General features: G+C 39.4%; 1 protein-coding gene across 13 annotated transcripts in view; it reads left to right on the top strand.

Annotated features, from left to right (window-relative positions):
• Positions 1-22,094, top strand: part of NMRK1 (nicotinamide riboside kinase 1) — a 27,579-nt gene extending 5,485 nt beyond the window's left edge. For 4 of the 13 annotated variants that reach the window (NM_017881.3, XM_006717163.3, XM_047423549.1 and 1 more), the window contains 7 exons: positions 5,091-5,181; positions 5,464-5,512; positions 12,629-12,776; positions 12,858-12,929; positions 13,569-13,675; positions 15,831-15,914; positions 21,104-22,094. In NM_017881.3, the coding sequence (NP_060351.1) occupies positions 5,091-5,181; positions 5,464-5,512; positions 12,629-12,776; positions 12,858-12,929; positions 13,569-13,675; positions 15,831-15,914; positions 21,104-21,123 (571 nt within the window). In that variant the 3' untranslated portion in view covers positions 21,124-22,094. Of the gene's footprint in view, positions 1-1,729; positions 3,967-4,059; positions 4,346-5,090; positions 5,182-5,463; positions 5,513-12,628; positions 12,777-12,857; positions 12,930-13,568; positions 13,676-15,830; positions 15,915-21,103 lie in introns of those variants that run through there. The other 9 variants (NM_001330678.2, XM_047423548.1, NM_001330679.2 and 6 more) reach the window with 6 other exon arrangements.

The raw sequence follows: 22,094 nt of genomic DNA, 5'->3' as shown, positions 1-22,094 counted from the left end.
CCCCATGTTTTGGGTGGCCTTATGTCCCATGTTGCCCAAGCTAATCCTTGTGGCCCTGGATGCACCTCTCTTTCTCTCAAACATGTTCTAAATTATATGGTCATCCTACCTGTGGTGCCATAGGCAGGCATGCAAATAAAACATCAACATCAACTGAAAATGACATTATTTGTTTTGCTACCATATTATGTTCACCTTTACTCTAAGTATATTCACATTGTTTGTGACCCAATTAATAAAATATCTGAGACTACTTTGTTTGTAATTTTGGGGAAATCATTGTGTTATGGTATTACATTACCATAGTAAGTCATCAATCAGAAGTAAAATTGAGTGAACTAAATGTTAGAACTCTGCTTTGCCTCCCATCTAACCAGAAGAAAAGTTCAGTTTTTCTCTGCAGTACTTCTCTTGTGTTTCTCTTCCTTCTCACCCTCACTGCCACCATCCTGATACAGGCTGTCATTCCCTAGTCCCCATCTTTCCCTTCTAATCTTTCCTACACACCTCTATCAGTTTAATCTTCATACAGAACATTTTGATTATCTGCCTGATGAATGATATTCAGTGGTTCCGAGTTATTGAGAATTAAATCTGAATATCATGATGTATGAAGGCCATCTGTAAGTAATAAAGGAAATGTATTAGCCTCAGGGGTAGCAGGCTGCGGGAAAAATTTGATACAGGAGCTCAGTGGTATCACCAAAGGCAGTTTTTCTCTCTTTTATGTGTCTTTCATTTGGGTTCATCTTAGAATTGGCTTATCCTTTTGGTCACAAAGATCTACTAGGAGCCCTGTGACTTGTTTCTTCATAGCCTGTCACTGGGCAGAAGGGGAAATGCTTCTCTTCCCCTAGGTCATAGGTCTCCCTTTGCTGGATAAGCCTGGTCCACATACACTCAGCCACCATGGTAAAAGAGGTGGGATTACACTGATTGGTTTAGGTCAGTGGGTTCTGTTCTGGAATTGAGAGTGGGAGCAGTCCCAACCGGACCTAGAAAACAGACATGGAACCTGGAGAGGCAACTACAAAGTCCACTACAGGATCCAATCCAGCCTTCATCTGGCATCTCTGTAAATAAGATTTCCCTCTTCTCAATGTCCCAATACAGGGCCGTATACCTAGAAACCTACCTTCTGTCTTGTCCTGTGTACTAGGTACTATCCATAACTCCCTAAGAAAGCCTTCTTTCCACTATCTTTTATTTAGCAAGTGCCATGATTTCTAATTTTTTTCTTTTAAGAAACAGGGTCTCACTATGTTATCCAGGTTGGTCTTGAACTCCTGACCTCAAACAATCTTCCCATCTGGGCCTCCCAAAGTGCTGGGATTACAAGGATGAGCCACTGCTCCTGGCCAAGTGCCTCAGTTTCATTTTAGTGCTGCTGCACCTGTGAAGCCCATGCCGGATTCAGTTAAGGCGACTTTTGTTCCTGCCTTGCATCTTATGAACTTAGCCACTTGCTTCCCTAGGAAGTAATTGTCCAATAAGCCTCAATCGAATAATTACTTCATAGGGAAGTAATAACTTAGTAATTATTCAATTGCAAATAACAGGGGTTCTGAAGGAATTCAGGGGGCATCCATGAACTTCCTGGAAATTTAACACAAATGTAAAGACAGTCATTTTTCTGGGTGTGTTAGTCCATTTGTCTTGCTATAAAGGAATGCCTGAAGCTTAGTAATTTATAAAGAAAAGGAGGTTTATTTGGCTCACTGTTCTGCAGGCTCTACAAGAAACATGGTGGTGATATGTGCTTCTGATGAGGGCCTCAGGAAGCTTACAGTCATGGTGGAAGATGAAGGGGATCCAGCATGTCACATGGCGGAAGAAGGAGCAAGAGAGAGTGAGAGGGAGGTTTCAGACTTTTTAAACAACCAGCTCTCACGTGAACCAACAGAGCAAAAACTCACTCATTACCATGGGGATGGCACCAAACCCTTCATGAGCGATCTGCCCTCATGAGCCAAACACCTGCCAGCAGGCCCCACCTCCAGCTTGGGGATCACATTTCTTTTTTGAGACAGAGTCTTGCTCGCCCAGGCTGGAGTGCAGTGGTGCAATCTCGGCTCACTGCAGCCTCCGCCTCCTGGGTTCAAGCGATTCTCCTGCCTCAGCCTCCCAAGTTGCTGGGACTACAGGCATGCACCACCACGCCCAGCTAATTTTTGTATTTTTAATAGAGGTGGGGTTTCACCATGTTGACCAGGCTGGTCTTGAACTCCTGACCTCAGGTGATCCACCCACCTCGACCTCCCAAAGTACTGGGATTACAGGTGTGAGTCACCGTACCCGGCCAGGGATCACATTTCAATATGAGATCTGGAGGGGACAAACATCCAAACTCAGTCACTGGGGAAAGAGATGATAACCTTCATGGGATTCTCTCAGAGTCCCACAACATAAAAAAGTTTAAATCCATCCTGGCATTAGACTTTCCCATCTCCATTACTTAACATGGACTAGTTTTATTAGTATACAACTTCTCAATCCTTAGTTTCCTCAACTGGAAAATTGGAATATTAACATCTACCTGTTGCAGAATGTATTCTCCACGTGTTTGAGTAATTACAGACAGCCTTTTAACTTCTCCCCAGCCCACTGTTATGTCCAAATACAATGAGCCCTCTTGTTACCTGGCACATAAAAAATAAATGGGCCAGGAGTTGTGCATTTATTTGGGTGTTGTGAGCAAAGAAGGGAGTGGCACCAAGTAGTCACCCTTTTTCCTTCCTCAGATCCTAGGACAGAATGCATGCTGGGCACGCTTCTCCTCAGGTTGGGTAGCACACGCAAGCTACACGTGGTGGTTGTGGGCGTGCCATAGGAAAATGTTCCTATTCCTTTCCCACATGTTTTGGGTGGCCTTCCTATTCCTTTACCCCATCCTATTCCCCCATTCCTATCCCTTTCCCCCATCCTATTCCCTTCCCCAAGGAAGGTTCCTATTCCTTTCCGCCATGTTTTGGGTGGCCTGAGCTGTCACCTGACCAGGATGTCTGCAGTCTGAGTGTGGATCTTAGGTGCAGGCTTGTTTAAATACTTTTTCTCCCCTCTCCTCTCCATATCTCAGACTGTCTTCTAGCCGATCTGTCTCCTCCAAGGCTTGTGCAAAAATGGGGTGTGTATTTCTCATTAGCTTTAGCTAAGTCAGTGAGAAAGGATCTAATTACTACTGTTGGTTTGACTGCGTGATCTTAACAGAGATAAGTCTAAAAAATGACAGATTTTTCTAGCCAGATTGTTCATATTGTAATAAAGTCACCCCTGTTCACTATCTCATTTAAACCAAAACTTAATACCTAAACTATGGACATTTGGTATGGTTTACAGACATTTTTGTTAAAGAAGGGGAAAAGTCATAATATGTTCTTGATACATAGGGTAGCACCCACTCACTTTTCATCGTTTTCAAAGAGATGGCCCATATCCTACCCAATTGTATATCGTAAGGTTACATGAGAAATCTTGTGAATCAGGTTCCTTCTACCTTGAGGTATAAGGTAGTAATTGAGTTATATACAAGCCATTTTGATGAATGGATATTAGTTCATTTTCCCTTTTCTAGATTATAAGTATTTGTGGATTGATCTCATCTGGGATTAAGCAAAGTTTCTTACAAATAGATGTGTAGTCAGGAGGTTTTTGTGCTGTGAACATTTTGGTGGTATGGTGAAATCTTGACCTCAGAGTAATAGTTTTAAGTGTACAAAATAAAATGCAGGAATACAAAAGAAATTGGTTATATTGAAATATAGTTATAAAAATATTTTTAAAAACAAATTTGTGATATTGTGATATATACTCTTCTATGTTAATATATTAAATAACAATAGCCAGAAGTGGGTCTAAACAATGCCATAAATCAGAAACAATAATGAACATCGATGATACTTCAAGATATCCACCCCAACTGCAACATAATATGAAAACATCTGTGATTTCTCTTGGTGAATGTCAGAGGTACTTATATCACTTACATTTATAATTAAAGGAGATGCTAAATTTCTGTCAGAATTCAATGAAAATAAAGGTATAATTTTTTTCTCATTCAAGTTCACAGATGCCCTGACTTATGTTCACAGACATGAGCCCCAGGTTAAAACACGCTTTCAATAAATGACTGAATCGAGAAGTGCCTCCCTCCCGTGTGATCTCCTCGATGCTGCAAAACTAGATCTAAAGAGGAGTAACTCAGTGCCCCTTCTCCTGGACTTCACAGTCCGGTCAGAAGAGACAAATAACTGGCCTGTTGTGATAAGCTACAGCAGACCTCCCAGCTGGCCCCCAGGTGGAGAGAGATGGGGAAAAGGAGGCATCGCAGAGGAAATGTGATTTCATGGTAGGTGGGCTTGTAATAAGCCACTCCTCTGTTTTTTCCACTGTGCCTTGAGGCAAAATCACAGTGACCATATGCAGTTTTATACACTTGCACTAAAATGTGCTACTCATATTCTCTGTGTTGCATATGAACCATGTGAATATTTTGACATAGGCAAAAAAAATTTTGCTTCCAACACAGTGTCTGTATTTTTAAGTGTTAGTGTTACTCAGTTCCCTTACTTGGTAGTTACCTTTCTCCTTCATCTTTCCCAGCTTATTTCTTATTATTAAGTACATCAGATCTACCAGTGCCTGTGGTTTAAGGCACTATCTATGAAAGAAATCATTTTTTTCTTAAATAGTAAATATTGCTTTAAATACCCTCTTAAAAAATTATTTTAAAGTGTTTAATTTTGGGCCAGGCCTGGTGGCTCACGTCCAAGCACTTTGGGAGGCCAAGGCAGGTGGATCATCTGAGGTCAGGAGTTTCAGACCAGCCTGTCTAACATGGCGAAACCCCATCTCTACTAAAAATACAGAAATTAGCCGGGCATGGTGGCGGGCACCTGTAATCCCAGCTCCTCGGGAGGCTGAGGCAGGAGAATCACTTGAACCCATGAATCGGAGGTTGCAGTGAGCCAAGATTGCACCACTGCACTCCAGCCTTGGTGACACAGCGAGACCCTGTCTCTCAAAAAAAAAAAAGTGTTTAATGATTTTTAATGCATTTTCCTTCTTGGTACTTTCTTTTTTCTTTGCTTCAGTGTGACAAACAGTGGCAAAACAACACTGGCTAAGAATTTGCAGAAACACCTCCCAAATTGCAGTGTCATATCTCAGGATGATTTCTTCAAGGTATCTATAAAACTTCTTAAATTATTTATTTAATACAAAAATGTTTAACCACCACGTTAATTGAATTACATCCAAGAAGTCTTTGGCTAGAGATTTACGTTTTGTATTGAAATTAGGCTCAGTGCAATGGTGTTACTTATCCACTAGATGGCACTGTCTATCAGTGCTGATCTTTCTTTGATCATCCAAAGCATTTATTAAAGACTTCTCTCCTTTTTAGTCTATAATTGTATTATTTCTTTCCTACACACTGTTTTGATGGGTACTTTATTATTTTTCCAGCCAGAGTCTGAGATAGAGACAGATAAAAATGGATTTTTGCAGTACGATGGTAAGTAGATTTACTTGTCAAATATTATATGCTTATGTTCATTTTCTTTTTCAAACCCAAAGAACTTCACTATGTTGAAGTTGATGGTTCTGTGGAACAAAAATTTAAAAAAAGAACTTCACTATATCTGTGAAGGCAGTCTTAAAATGTGTTTAAATATATTGTTGTACTTTAAGCCTGCATTTGTAGGTTTCTGATTTATGTTGAACTATTTAAATAAGTTAAAACCTTTTTCCAGTTTTATATTTAAAACTGAAAACACTGGGGCCAGGCTTGGAGGCTTACACCTGTAATGCCAGCACTTTTGGAAGGCCGAGGCAGGCAGATCACTTAAGCTCAGGAGTTTCAGACCAGCCTGAGCAACATAGGGAGATTCCATCTCTACCCAAAAAAATACAAAAATTAGCCAGGTGTGGTGGTGCATGCCTGTAGTCACAGCTCCTTTGGAGGCTAAGGTGGGAGGATCACTTTGCCCAGGACACTGAGTCTGCAGTGAACCGAGATCGCACCACTGTACTCCACCCTGGGTGACAGAGTGAGACCCTGTCTCAAAAATATATATTTTTTAAAATGAAATAATAAAACTGAAAACACTGAAATGATAGATTTTTCTTCTTTTTCATTGAGGTAAAATATGCCTATATAATTTACTATCTTTACCAATCTTAAGTGTACAGTTCATTTGTAATAAATACTTTTTTTTCTCCCTTCATTCCCCCCCACCTGCCTCCCCTTCCGGGTCTCTGGTAACCACCAGTCTACTCTCTATCTTCATGAAATCCACTTGTTTTAGCTCCCACATATGCATGAGGACATGGGATATTTGTCTTTCTATGCCTGACTTATTTCATTTAACATAATGGCCTCCCGTTCCATCCATGTTGCTGCAAATGACAGGACTTCATTCTTTTTAAGGCTGCATGATATTCCATTACATATACACACCATACTTTCTTTGTTCATTTATTCATCGATGGGTATTTAGGTTCATTTCATATTCTGGCTATTTGTGAATAGTGCTGCAATAAACATGGGAGTGCAGCTATTTCTTGGATATATTGATTTCTTTTATTTTGGATATATACCTGGTAATAGAATTGCTGGATCATGAGGTAGTTCTATTTTTAATTTTTTGAGGAATCTCTGTACTTCTCCATAGTGGCTGTACTAATTTACATTCCTTCCAATAGTATATGATGGTTCCCCTTTCTCCACATGGAATCACAGGGTTTTCTTCTGAAGCAAGTTAGGCTTGCTGTCCCTCTGCCCATTCCTGTTCTGAAGATGTATAAGTAGCTACATTGGCCACCCTCAACCACCCATGAGAGAATTTTGCCTGGAGCAAACTATATTCTCTCATTCTTTCAGCTTTCCTTCTTGGTGGCCAAAGTACTAGGCCACTGTGGTTTGGTTTTGTTTTTTTCTCTGTTCAGAAAGGTTTGTGAATATATTTTAGATGGATTCTCCTCATTCCTTACTCCAAGCTCACAGTTTTGAAGCCAAAGGATTACAGCCTATCATAAAACATTTTTTGTAGAGAATATCATGCTAATAGGCAGTTTAATATTTGATTATCTTATTAACTTTTATAATTAAAAAGATGATCATTGAATACTTACACAAACTAGTGACAGAGGGAGCTCTCTTTAAAAAGTCATAATGTTCTCTATTTTTAACTGATAACCTTTTAGGAAAAGTGTTATCAATCAGTTCTTACAGACACATAATAGTTTTATGAGAGGCAAAATTCTTGACTCACTCTCTGTTCTTGCATCTTGAGTTGCAGCCAGGATCATTTTTTTTTTCTTCTCTTCCTCTCGTCCAGAGGTTAGTGAGAAAAATCATTACAAAGTAAGGGTGAAAAACAAGGAAAAACAGTTTTCAACAATTGGAAAAGAATTACTATTTCTAATTTTTAATGAATTCTTACAAACTGATAAGAAAAACTAATATCCCAGTAGGAAAAGGGCCTAAGGATGTGAATAAGCTCTTCATAGAAGCAGTCAGTTATTGGATTAATAAATGTACAATAAAAGTCAACCTTAAAGAACTGCAAGTTACTTTTTTTCCCACTTACCAAGTAAACGAAGATGTTTAAAGCAATGATAATTAGCCAGTGATAGCATGGGCTCAGTAAAACAAAGGCCCTAATATACTTTAGATGGAAGTATATAGATAAATTGGTACAGTCTTTCTGGAAAGGAGGTTGAGCATGTGTCCCAAACTTAGCATGTTCATGCCATGACTTCAAGCATCTCACATCAGGAATCTATCTTAAGGAAAAACTTGAACATTTTAGGTAAATGTACAAATTTAAGGTAAATCAAAGTACTAGTCAAGGCTTTCTGAGCACAAACAGGATAGTTTTAAAATGTGGAACTACCAAGTTTGTAGAGGAAATAATTCATTTTCAATGGAATATAGTTGATTAATATGAAAGAAGTCAAAACAAAAATTAAAAATCAAGGGATGGCCGGGTGTGGTGGCTCACACCTGTAAGCCCAGCTCTTTGGGAGGCCAAGGTGGGTAGATTACTTGAGTCCAAGGGGTTCAAGACCAGCCTGAGCAACATGGCAAAACCCTGTCTCTACAAAAAATACAAAAATTAGCCAGGTGTGGTGGTGCGCACCTGTGGTCCCAGCTACCAAGGAGACTGAGGCGAGAGGCTCACTTGAGCCCGGGAGGCAAAGGCTATAGTGAGCCGAGATATGCCACTGCACTCCAGCTTAGGTGACAGAGTGAGACTGTCTCAAAAAAATAAATAAATAAATCAAAAGATGGTGGAAAAATAGAAAATAATAGTAAGATGATAGATTTAAGCCCAAATATACCAGTAGCCACATTAAGTGAAAGGAACTAAAATACTCCAAAAATTGTCAGACTGGTATTTTTTTTTTTAAGCCAACAATAAGCTCCTTAAAAGAGAAAGACTTAATGGCCAGGTGCGGTAACTCACGCCTATAGTCCCAGCTACTCAGGAAGCCGAAGCGGGAGAATCACTTGAACCTGGGAGGCTGAGGTTGCAGTGAGCCAAGGTTGTGCCACTGCACTCCAGTCTGGGCAACAGAGCGAGACTCTGTCTCAAAAAAGAAAAAAAAGAAAAAGGATATGTATAAGGACATAGAAATATAGGCCGTAAAAGGCTAGAAAAAGATCCATGATGGAAACACCTACTGAAAGAACTGTTATAACTCTAGCAACTATACTAATACCAAACGAAGTAAACTTTAAGGCTGAGTATTACTGAGAGAGAGAGAAATGAGTTACTTCGACAGGAAGATAAAACAACCTAAAATTTTTATCTACCTAATACCATAACATTAAAATGCATTAAGTAAACACTGACAGAGCTAAGAGGAGAGAAAGACACAAATCCACAATCGGTGTGGGAGTTTTTTGTTTGTTTGTTTATTTTTTATTGAGATGGAGTCTCACTCTGTCACCCAGGCTGCAGTGCAGTGGTGTGATCTTGGCTCACTGCAACCTCTGCTGCCCAGGTTCAAACAATTCTCATGCCTCAGCCTCCTGAGTAGCTGGGACTACAGCCACACACCACCACGCCTGACTAATTTTTTTTTTTAAAGTAGATTTGGGGTTTTGCCATGTTGGCCAGGCTGGTCTCCAACTCCTGACCTTAGGTGATCTGCCCACCTCAGCCTCCCAAAGTACTGGGATACAGGTGTGAGCCACCACGCCTAGCTGATGAGGGGGATTTTAACACAACTTCCTTTGTGTATTAGTTTGCTAGGGCAACATAACAAAGTACCACAGAATGCCTTAAACAACAGAAAATTATTGTCTCACAATTCAAGAGGCCAGAAGTCTGAGATCCAGGTGTCAGCAGGGTGGGTTCCCTCTGAGGCTGTGAGGGAGACTCTTTTCGGTGCCCCTCTCCTGGCTTCTGGTGTTTGCTGAAATCTCCGGCAGCCTTGGTTTCGGCTGCATCACCCCAGTCCCTGACTACATCTCCACATGGTGCTCTCCCTGTGTGTGTCTGAATTTTCTCCTTCTGTAACCAGTCATATTGCATCAGGTACCCACCCTACTCCAGTGTGACCTCACCTTAACTGATTGTATCTGTAATGACCATATTTCCAAACAGTCACATTCTGGAGAACTGGGCATTAGGACTTTAACATAGGGGGACGCATTCAACTCATAACAGCCACTAATGAGACTCACAGACAAAAATTGCTAATGATATAACAGATTTGAACAATACAATTAACTAACTTGACCAAAAACTGACATGTACAGAACATGCACCTAATAACAGCAGAATACATATTTTTTTTTCTTGAGTACATGGAATATATTACCCCAAACAGTCCATATATGCAAGGGCATGGAGTAAGTCCTAATACATTTTATGGATTGAAGAAATGTAAAGATACTCTATAATCACCATGAAGTAAATTAAAAATCAATAACCAAATGTTTGAAAAGTAAGCATTACCCTTTTTTCTGATTTTCAAAAACTTTTTCTAATGGAAAATTTCAAAGATATGCAGAAGTCAGCAGAAAAGTATAATGAACTCTCTCTTGAGTTCGCCATCCAGTTTTAATAATGATGAAATTTTGACCAATTATATTTCATCTATACCCTCACCCACTCTATTCACCTATATTGTTTTGAAGCAAATCCCAAACATCATTGTAGTTTATCTGAAGCAAAACACTTATCTATTCCTTGGGTCAAAAGCTAAATCACAATGAAAATTAGAAAATATTTTTAACTGAATGATACAAAAATATATCAAAAGTAGTAAGACTGCTGGTTCCAGCCAAGATGGATTAGTCCCATTGCTCACTGTTCCTCCCCACTGCAATGAAAAACCCTAGACGTAATGCAACAAACAGACAAAGGAAGACTGAAAGGAAAAAAGAAAGCATGCTGGCTAAAGATTCCAGGACGGGAGGAATGACATGGCTATGGGATCCATGGGTTTTCTTTTTGCCTCCTACATATACAGGAGAAGTATACAACATGGAACCATCCATAGGCACAGGCTAAAAAAGGGACAAGGAAAAGGGTGGCCTACCAGAATAGAAAAACTTTTTGATAATATCCACCCTACTCTAGCCAGACACAAAAGGCAAAACTGTCCTCCCTTCATTTTGTTAGCTTGGTGCGGAGCTAGACTTCCAGAAGATCCATTCAGCATTAGCAAGGCAGGGTGAGTCACCCCTCCACGTCACCCATGGGGGTTGGATCAGTGGAACCAAACAGGAAGCTGCACTTTCGCCTCCACCTGGCAGTACTCAGGTGGAAAGAGGCAGTGTGCAGTGGAGCAGGTTGGCACTTCACCTTCCTTACTCAGGGCGTGTCAGCTCCTGTCAGCAGAACCCAGTGGAAAGCTGAACTTCTACCCACAACTAGCAGCAATGAAACTTAACCAGCACTCTCCTTGACGCCCTCTTCTCACAATGGACCAACTTCCCCCACAACACAGCATCAGCAGGGCCTAGCAGGAAGCAGAGCATCCACCCCCACCTGAACCTGCAAGCTATACCAGAACAGAGTGACTGCCTGCAAAAGAAGATTAAATAGGATCTACAGCCTCATAACACAGGATCTAAAATGTCCTGGACACAGCTGAGAATCACTTATTATACCAAGAACCAGAAAAGTCTCAACTTGACTAAGAAAAACCAATCAACAGACACCAATACCATGATCACACAGATGTTGAAATTATCTGACAAAGAATTGAAAGCAGCATTATTAAAAGGCTGTAAACATAATATTGCAAACAGGCTTGAAACAAGTGAAAAACTAGACTGCCTCAGTAAAGAAATAGAAGATTTGAAAAAAGAACCAGATGGAAATTTTAGAGTGGAAAAAATACATTAACCAAAATTTGAAAAATCACTGGATTGGCTCATTAGCAGAGTAACTATGACAGAGAAAATAATTAGTGAACTTAAAGACAGAACAATACAAATTACTCAATCTGAACAACAGAGAATAGACTGAAAAGAAATGAATAAAAATGTGGAACAATAATGAAAGATCTAATATTCATATCATTGGAGTCTCAGGAGAAAGTGTGGGACTAAAAAAGTATTCAAAGAAGTAATGGTTTAAAAAAAAAACTTCTCAAATTTGGTTTAAGACATAAAACTTCAAGAATCTGAGCAATCCCCAGATTAAATAAGTCTGATTAAAAAAAAAATAGAGAAGGAACAGATTACAAATACCAAAAGCAAAAAAGGTAATATCACTGTAGATCCTACAGACATTAAAGAGATAAAAGGATATTATGAACACTCTTGCTATACAAATAAATTTGAAAAGTTAGGTGAAATTGACAATTTCCTAGAAAGACATCGCTTACCAAAACTAACACCAGAACAAAGAAAAAAATCTTAATAGTCCTATGTCTATTAAATAAATTAATCCATCATTTAAAAACCTTCCACTAAAAAACACTCTTAAGTGCTGTTGGCTCAATTCAGTAGTTCTGGAGTGGAGCTGAGAATTTGCATTTCTGACAAGTTCCCAGGTGATGCTAATACTACTGGTTTAAGTACCATACTTTTAAAAGCTATAGGCTACTTTTCTAAAATCACAATTAACTCGAGAAGTATGTACATTTTTAGAGTGTGACAATGACATATTTGTGTTCTTTACAAATAGTCTGACTTTTAGTTATTTATCTAGAAGAGCTCTTTGGTATATTAAATATCTTAACTCTTTGCCAAAGACATTACAGATATTTCCCTCCATGTGTCATGTATCTTTCAAACTTATCTGTAGATATTTCATCTTCTAAAAATTTTAAATTTTTGTGTAGTCAGGAGAGAATCGAAGTTATAAGTAAAGCAAGGTTAGCCATGGGTTTCTGATTATCAGAGCTGGTAATAGGGACCTAGGAGTTCACTGTACTTTACTTTTTTGTATGTTCGAAATTTTCCATAATAAAAATGTTTCACTGTGGTTTGTCAGCATTAGAGTTTCCACATGTTATCTAAATTATTTGTTATTAGGAGTTTTGAAGGGAAATAAAATGGTGGTGTATATATTTACAGAATCCTGGATATACTCATCACAAAAAGTCACATCACAAAATTTTGTGCTATATTGATTGCATATTTTTGTGTGTTTGTTTGAAGTGCTTGAAGCACTTAACATGGAAAAAATGATGTCAGCCATTTCCTGCTGGATGGAAAGCGCAAGACACTCTGTGGTATCAACAGACCAGGAAAGTGCTGAGGAAATTCCCATTTTAATCATCGAAGGTTTTCTTCTTTTTAATTATAAGTAAGCATCTCCACCCTAATATTGTCTCTGAGTGAATGGGGGGATAAAAACCCTTGTGAACTAAGTATGCTGTTATTTTAGGCCCCTTGACACTATATGGAATAGAAGCTATTTCCTGACTATTCCATATGAAGAATGTAAAAGGAGGAGGAGGTAAGTTTTGAAGCCATCTTTGTGAGTTGTAATTCAAAACAAAAAATGTAGAAGAAAAATGAGGACAGCAACATTATTGAGCAATGCGTATACGTCATTTTTCAGAGACAGGAAGCCTTAACTCTTTTACAAAAGGAGCAAAACTCTTTTCCATAAATGGTCATCCGCATGGAGTAATGCAAATTACTTTCTAAGAAAAGGGCCTTATATCAAGCTTTCGGCTCATTTCTCCTAAATCCTCAAACAAAGCAAGCCCATGGTGATTAGGATTTTAATGTAAGTGAGCCTGTTCTGCCACAGCTACAAAGAACACCAATTAGTTCAAAGCTTAATCCAACATAGTGGTCTCTCCATTGTTATTTACACTATTTGTCTCTTAGTTCTCTTATAAAGCACTAGAAGGAAAAAGAATAATTAAGAATGATAGTCAGTGGATTACAAAGTTAATTTTAATATCAAAGAACTAAATCCATGTTACTGTCGTTCTAACTGCCATTGAGTTAAAACATGTAGTACATGTAGTCCTAATCCTGTTTAGATTCAGCCTCTGAGTGATTTCCCCATTATCCTGACCATTCATATTTTACTTTATCAATTGTGTGTTTCTGTCAACATAAAGTTTCCTACGTGTTTTGATAGTACAAGGGTCTATCAGCCTCCAGACTCTCCGGGATACTTTGATGGCCATGTGTGGCCCATGTATCTAAAGTACAGACAAGAAATGCAGGACATCACATGGGAAGTTGGTAAGTGCCTTTTCTCCTTCTGTTCAAGGCCTTTTACTTGTCATTTGCCTCAAAGTATAGAAAAGAAAGGACTCATAGAAAAGTATAAAGGGATGCTTAAGCAAGAACACTCTGGGCTTCTCCTTTTCCATAGCTGGTTCTCCTGGTTTCTGTTTCTCTCTGTGGCTCTTGTCAGCTTCTGGATGGTTATTCATTCAACCAGTATTGAATGAATGCCTTCCAGTGCTGCCCTGGAGATGGTGAGGGGAATGAGGCAGACCCAGCCCCTGCTCTTATGCAGGTAACATTCTATCATGGAAACAGGTGCTAGAGATACCAGCGGCCCAAGCCTGTCCTTTCCAGCTGCTGTAAGTTCTGCGACACCAAGTTCTAGGGGACTGCCGAGATCCCGGTAGTCAGGAAAGGCTTCCTTGAGGAAGTCACATTTAACCAAACTTCAATGAGTTTAACTGAACAAAGGAGATGGGTTGGGGAGATAGAAGATTACCCCAGAAAGTGGGTGTGGCACACGAAAGGGCCAGGGGACAGGAAGGAATGAGAAACCCCTGAAAGAAAGCTGGTGTTGAGAAAGCTTTCTAGTAAAGAAAACCAGGGGAGTGGATTGATGCTAGTGATACAGGCAGGGTCCAGACCCTATAAGGCCAATAATCTAGGTAAGGACTTTGATCATTGTTCTCAGAGAAGTAAGAAGCTCTCTAGAGAGAAGTTTTAAACAAGGGCATGATTGATAAAAATTCTTGTTTTAGTTAAGACCCCTCTGGCTGTGTGGAGAATGGAGGAGGATAGATTTATAGGGTGTGATGTTGGACGCCCGCACTCAGTAGAACTGGGTGATAGAACAGCTATGGAGGGGGCGGGAAGATGACAGATGCCTCAGCAACTGACAGATGTTAGAAAAAAGTGAAGGCATTGCAGACCTGTAAGGGAGGAATGCATGTCTCTTTTGCACATAATGAGGTTGAGGTGCCTGGGAGACATATGTAGCAATTTGGAGGTAAGCATCCGGATCTGTGGGCTTGAGCTAAGAACAGATCACTGGAATAGGGCACTCAATGCAGGGAAGATGGCAGAAGGCTGTTGGATAAGGCAAAGGAGTTAGAACTGATGTATGCTTTTCACAATAAAGGGGACTTGTCTGTGTTGTGAGAAGCCTGTTGGCCTCCAGGATAGGCAGCTATGTCAGAGCCATGTGGAATGCACACAGAGTGTACCCCCAGGGCCAATGCTGAGATTCTGGCTGCACCACGTCCAACTTGGACCATTGGTTGCAAGAACATCCTCTTGCTTCCCTTCTCTCCCTTTTACCTAAAATGCAAATCTAATCAGGCTCCTGCTCTGCTGAATACCTTGAGTCATCTCCAGATCTTTGAGATACAATCCAAACAGCCAGACATCAAGGCCTCTAACGACTGAGGTACTGAGGTACACCCTTGCTCTAAAATCTCATCTCACGCTGTTCCTGGAGCTTCCCCATATTCTAGCCATTCCAAAGGGTGCATCAGTGCTCTTGCCTCTCCCTACTCATGCTGTTTTCTGACCAGAAGGCCCTTTCCTTCCTTTAACCTAGACAACTTCTACTTTTTCTCCAAAGCTGCTTATGCCAGTTTTATTAAAAATACGTCTTTTCTCTGATAGCAGAAAACACACACACACACACACAAACATACACACACACACAATACATATTTTCTGAGCCTGGTGAATTCTGAGTTTGTACATATGTTGCAGATCCCAGACCACTGCATTGTTTAAGAAGCTTCCCAGGTGATCCTGATGTATAAGTATGTTGAAGAATTACTCCTTAAGTGACCCTTTTGGGTGAACACCTTCAGTGCACCTAAAGTGCCGTATGCACAACACCACTTTCTTTCTTCTGTTTCTTTCCTCCTTTCTTCTTTCTTTCTCTTCTCTTTTAATTAAATAATTTTCACATAAGCCAGTGTGGATTTATCTGTAACAATCCAATATTTTTGACCTATTATAGCTGGCTAGCATCTATTTCTTTCTTTAATCACTATTAATTTCCTTTTAAGTTATGGTCCTGGGTGCCTTGGTTAAACCTATTGGCATTTACAAGAGATGTTGGGTGTCAAAGTAAACATTGTATATTAATAAGCCTGTTAGCATTTGAACTGCTCTCTTTTCCCCTTCGTAGTGTACCTGGATGGAACAAAATCTGAAGAGGACCTCTTTTTGCAAGTATATGAAGATCTAATACAAGAACTAGCAAAGCAAAAGTGTAAGTATTGTGCTAACAAAGTGGATGGTAGAGGAGAAACAGCCAGGAAAATCATTCATTACATATGAAAGAATGGAATACCAGAATGCTAGTGTAGGAGTGATTGTGCTCATCCATTCTTTGCTTTGAGGATAATTCAGAATCAGAAATTCTGGGGGGGGGTTTGGAGACTCAATTATTTTGTCTGTTTTTAGGGGTAAAACCATGTACCCTTTGTTACATCTCTTAATGCTATTTATGTGATTTACTTTAAAACTTTTAGTAGATGGCTGTACCAAATGGGACTGGAAGTATCCTTTGGGCACAGTATAATTAAAATGCTGATGATTTTTTTTAGTATGTCCAGAGCTCCCCTTTTCTTTTATTCCCTTAAAGACTTTCTGTAAAATTTCTACTTTCCAAATACCTCAAAGATAAACAAAAGATTTTAAAAAGTATTATGAAGTGTTTGTTTAAGGTTTTCATATTGGACGGCACTGTTTGCAAGTGACAGGGATCTGCCTAAATATGGCTACAGCAGAAAGACAGTACAGGGGTAATGGTGGCTTCAGGCTCAGCTGGATTAACTCATTTATGCCTAGTGTTCCATTGTTGGAACTCTAAGCTTGTAGGAGTTATTTATATCCTACTGCTGAAGGTCATCACCAAGGTCTCGTTTTTCACAAAAATAATTTGCAACCTCCAACATTAATGGGTTAAGGAACTCAAATAAGGTCCTCAGGACTCTGCTTCTATTCTACTTTCTATTTAGGGTTTATTTTGAAGTCAGGCTCTCCACTGACCTGATGTCTGTTGACAACAACATCCTCCTAGGTCCATCAGTCCCAGGGTAAAAAGATATCTTTTTCAAGATTTGACAACGAGTTGATAAATGTTGGAGCTGGATATTGAGTACAAGGAGGTTCATATTTATTCTCACTTCTTTTGCATAAATTTGAAATTCTTTATTTTAAATAGTTTTCTAAAAAGCAATGTTCTGTTGTAGCCCAGATGATTGGTCCTGCTGGATCACATGACTTGCCAAACCAATCACTATGGCCAGGGAGATGGCATACTCTGATTGGCCAGGCCTACATCACATAACCCATCTTGTAATTGAATACCCCACCTAACACCTTCTGATTTTAAAAATTTCTCTGGCCAGTTGCAATGGCTCACGTTTATAATCCCAGCACTTTGGGAGGCTAAATTGGGAGGATTGCTTGGGGCCAGGAGTTCAAGACCAGCCTGAGCAACATAGTGAGAGGGACTCCATTTCTACAAAAATTAAAATTTTTTAAAAATTAGCTACCAAGCACAGTGGCTCACATCTGTAATCCCAGCACTTTGGGAGGCCGAGGCAGACAGATCATGATGGTCAGGAGATCCAGACCATCCTGGCCAACATGGTGAAACCCCGTCTCTACTAAAATACAAAAAATTAGCCAGGTGTGGTGGTGCGCGCCTGCAGTCCCAGCTACCCGGGAGGCTGAGGCAGGGGAATCTCTTGAACTCCGGGGGCAGACATTGCAGTGAGCTAAGATTGCACGCCACTGCACTCCAGTCTGGTGACAGAGTGAGACTCTGTCTCAAAAAAATAAAAATAAAAAATTAGCTGGGCATAGTGGCACGTGCCTATAATCTCAGCTACTCAGGGTATTGAGGTGGGAGGATGGCTTTAGCCCAGGAAGTCAAGGCTGCAGTGAGCCATGAATGTGCCATTGCACTCCACCCTGGGAGACAGACAGCCCTATTTCTAAAAATTAAAAAATCAAAAATTTCCCAAAGAGAAAGCAGGGCAGGAGGTAGAAACCAGAAGAAGAAAGTCGAAAAAACATGCTTAAGGGACAAAACTGTAGATGTAGCTGTTGTTATATTTGAACTATTTGAATTAAAAGAACTTCCATGGCTAACACCAGCAAAATGCAATCATCAGCTGGCTCAGAGAAGACAGTATGACTCACTCCAGCAGTGAAGAATATTATATGTTTTTTTTGGTGAGAAGCAATTGCCCTAGTCCAAATGTTGTCCTTCCTCAGTAAGAATTAGATTTCCTACCTACATCCTCAATAAATTCCTCTTTGACTAGGAGACTGAGCCCAACTAGGCAGCTCATTGATCCTAAACATTGTTGATTTCAGGATCAGCCCATCATATAGGCATGAACCCATTTGAAGGAATTTCAGGACCATTTTAAATTTTCTTCTTGCAAGTAGAATTTAGAATCCTTGCCAGATATGCCCGCCCACTCCTGCCATCTGTTACTTTGATGAAAGTCAGGCCTTCCATAATGAATCTCAGAGCACCAACATGAGTGGATATAGAGGGTGTGGGGTGAAGGGAGGGGCTCAGCCTTCATAAATGATAGCACATGAGCCAGAGCCACTTCTCTGAGAGTTATTGGCTCCCCTTTCTGTCCCTAATGAGGCACTTCCAGGAGTGTTTCAGCTGTTGGACACCTATAGCTCTTTGTCTTCTCAGCAATGGCCAGTGCTTGGGTCCAGCTTTCCTTTATGACTAAGTGATACACTGGAGTTTGGCCTTATGATCTACCTACTGATAAAGATGAAAGTAGCCTTTGTCATGTAGCTCAGGTAAATTGCAACCAGCTCCATTCCAAATTCAGTCTTCACCATCTGTTCCAAAGCCCAAGAACAGCTGACATGTTTTGACAGGTGCTGCTAGCTCACAAGAAAGTGCATTTCCCTGTGTTGTGACGCCCCTCCTTCCTTCCCTACATCCTAGAGGCAGGCAGGAAAGTATTTAGCTATGCCATTTGAGGCTTCTAGATATTAGTTAAAGTTTAAAAAAAAAACTTAAAAGAGGGATAAAAACAGAAATACATCAGCTTTTCTTACCTCCAACATTTATGCTGGTTTTTCTCAGTTACATAAATAAGTTACTGTTTTATTTCTAGTAACCTATCACCTTTCCTATTTCTTCCATCCACAGTATCCTGGCAAAGCTTTCCTGAAGGTACCCTCAGCATAGCCTGGTTTAACCCTGAGTATGACACACACTGAGCTAGCTGGGGAGGCCTTTCAGTGTTTCTAGTGACTAATCTTCAGGGTTTTTTTTCTCACATCTCATAAACTTGTTTAGCTAATTTTTCAGTCTTAAGTACATAAAATCATAATTATGATAAGGTAATAATAATGAAGGGGAAACAAGAAAGACTGAATTTAATTGTTAATGAAACAATAAATTATCCAACAGAGTAAGAGAATGGAGTTACACATTTAATTTAATCCTTATTTAAATCCAAAGTATGAGGCAAAATTTAATTATTTCCTTATTCTTACTAAAACAAAGTAGTCTAGCCACCAGGAACATTCAAACTCCCTTTAAAAACATTTATTTTCACCTCATTATAAAAACATTATTTTTAAGGTTTTTTATTTTTTGTTTTATTTATTTTTATTTTTTATTTTTCTCATATGGAGTCTTTTTTTCTTTCTTTTTTTTTTTTTTTGAGATGGAGTCTCGCTCTGTCGCCCAGGCTGGAGTGCAGTGGCACAATTTCGGCTCACTGCAAGCTCCGCCTCCTGGGTTCACACCATTCTCCTGCCTCAGCCTCCCGAGTAACTGAGACCACAGGTGCCAGCCATCACACCTGGCTAATTTTTTATATTTTTTTAGTAGAGACGGGGTTTCACCATGTTAGCCAGGGTGATCTCAATCTCCTGACCTCCGCCCGCCTCGGCCTCCCAAAATGCTGGGATTACAGGTGTGAACCACTGTGCCCAGCCAATATGGAGTTGTTCTGTCGCCCAGGATGGAGTGCAGTGGCACGATCTCAGCTCACTGCAACCTCCACCTTCTGGGTTCAGGTGATCTCCTACCTCAGCCTCCCAAGTAGCTGGGATTACAGGTACGCACTACCACGCCCTGCTAATTTTTGTATTTTTAGTTAAGACGGGGTTTTGCTATGTTGATCAGGCTGGTCTCAAACTCCTGACCTCAGGTAATCCGTCTGCCTTGGCCTCCCATAGTGCTGGGATTACAGGCATCAGCCACCATGCTCAGCCTTTTTAAATGTTTAATAGAAAGCAAAAGGGAGGAAGTAATTACCTGTGTTCCCTCCAATCATTAGTGTTAACATTTTAATGAGTACACATCCAGTCTTTTTGCTGTTCACATCAATCTGTCTTTTACAAGACTGCAAGGACAGTGTAGTTAATCAGCCATGCTTATCTCTGTTTTTAAATTAGTATTTAATATTTATGCAGCTTTATAGATTTCATTATATAATGAAACTAAGTAGCTCTTCCAGTTAAAAAAAAAATCAAGGCTGAGTTCTGTTTTGTACACTGAAGAGAAATGTAAGACTTGACATTGACCCTTTAGTACAGAAGAAACATGTCACATGTCTAGTTCCAAATCAAAAGAATAAGAAGTTGCAAAATAAAATTTAATTATCAGATGTTTGTATTTTTCTCATTAAATATAAAATATAATCTCATTATAAAATTATAGTATAATTATCTGGTACAGTAGTCCAAATTAACATAAGATCACTTAACCATTTCCCAATTGTTGGATATTTACTGTTGTTACAAGTGTTTCACATGGATATATCACATGCCATAAAAAATATCTACACCTACTCTTTGTTGGTTGTCTTCTTTTTGAATTATATCCCTGGAGTAAATTCCCAGAAGTGTCACTTATGTAGTCAAAGGATGTAATCATTTTTACATTTTACATATTTCAAAAATGAAATACTACCCAAAAAATGTGTGCTTTGCAACATCAGCTGTGTAATAAGAATGTGGTAGGTTTATCATTGAATTTCTATGCCAAATCAAGTATTCCACTGGGCTTCCTTCGTTTAAGAAAAGGGATTAAAGTAACAATACTTTCCCCACATCAAGGATAACACTCCAAAACAAGGATTATACTGCAGACAACTACCCTTTGTGGTTTTATTCTAGTCTTCAAACTATATCATTCTCTGAAGTCAAGGATTACTATACGAACTACAAGTGATATTGGATATCTATCTGATATTTTAAGGTATGCTTCAAATTTAATGCAGGGATTAAAAGAATGGGACTTGGACTCAATTTAGTTCTTTACAGGAAACCAGCATTTTTGGCTCCAGAATCCCTCTAATTTAAACATCCTTAGATTTACTGTTGTTGATGTAAAGATTTAATAAAATGAGAATTGGAATTCTCCATTAATTTCTTTTTATGTTTATTCCCAAGGTTTGCAAGTGACAGCATAAAGACGGAACACAACAAATCCTTCCTGAAGTGAATTAGGAAACTCCAAGGAGTAATTTAAGAACCTTCACCAAGATACAATGTATACTGTGGTACAATGACAGCCATTGTTTCATATGTTTGATTTTTATTGCACATGGTTTTCCCAACATGTGGAACAATAAATATCCATGCCAATGGACAGGACTGTACCTTAGCAAGTTGCTCCCTCTCCAGGGAGCGCATAGATACAGCAGAGCTCACAGTGAGTCAGAAAGTCTCCACTTTCTGAACATAGCTCTATAACAATGATTGTCAAACTTTTCTAACTGGAGCTCAGAGTAAGAAATAAAGATTACATCACAATCCAATATCTGTGGAATTCATTGTGTATGTTTATGTATTTGTGTGTAGGTGTGTATGTGTGTGTGTGATACATACATACATCAAGTATCACAAGACATTGACCTTATATATTATGCACTGTGATGTTTTTCCGTCTTTAATTATAAAAAACATATTGATCACAACCACAATTTGGAAAATGTTGCTCCATACCATCCCATACCAACACTCACCACCTGCAAATAATAGCATTACTAGGAGCTGCAGTCACAATGAATAAATCAACAATTCGCTACAAGATCTAGGATTATTTGTGTATTTTGTTGAGTGTGTGTGTGTGTGTGTGTGTGTGTGTGTGTGTGTGTTGGCGTGTATCTAATACCATTGTATCTCATTGTTGAGACTTTGTTACAAATAGGGTTTCTGGTTTCTTTCTCCCCCCTCGTGGTTCATTTTGTTTTTGTCAAACCAGTGGTCTAAAATCACAGAAATAAGCAATTACTTCAATCATGTGGAATCCAGGGGACCTATCTTTGGAAAGCACAGAAGGAGATCTGAATTGTGTGATCTCTTGAGGCTGCTTTCAATGCTGGAATTTAAATTATGTACTGAACAATCTTTTGCTTATTAATAAAAAGATTACACACAA

This window comes from Homo sapiens, chromosome 9 (genome assembly GCF_000001405.40).
Source record: "Homo sapiens chromosome 9, GRCh38.p14 Primary Assembly".
Lineage (NCBI taxonomy): Eukaryota > Metazoa > Chordata > Mammalia > Primates > Hominidae > Homo > Homo sapiens.
This window is presented reverse-complemented; position numbering and strand designations above follow the sequence as displayed.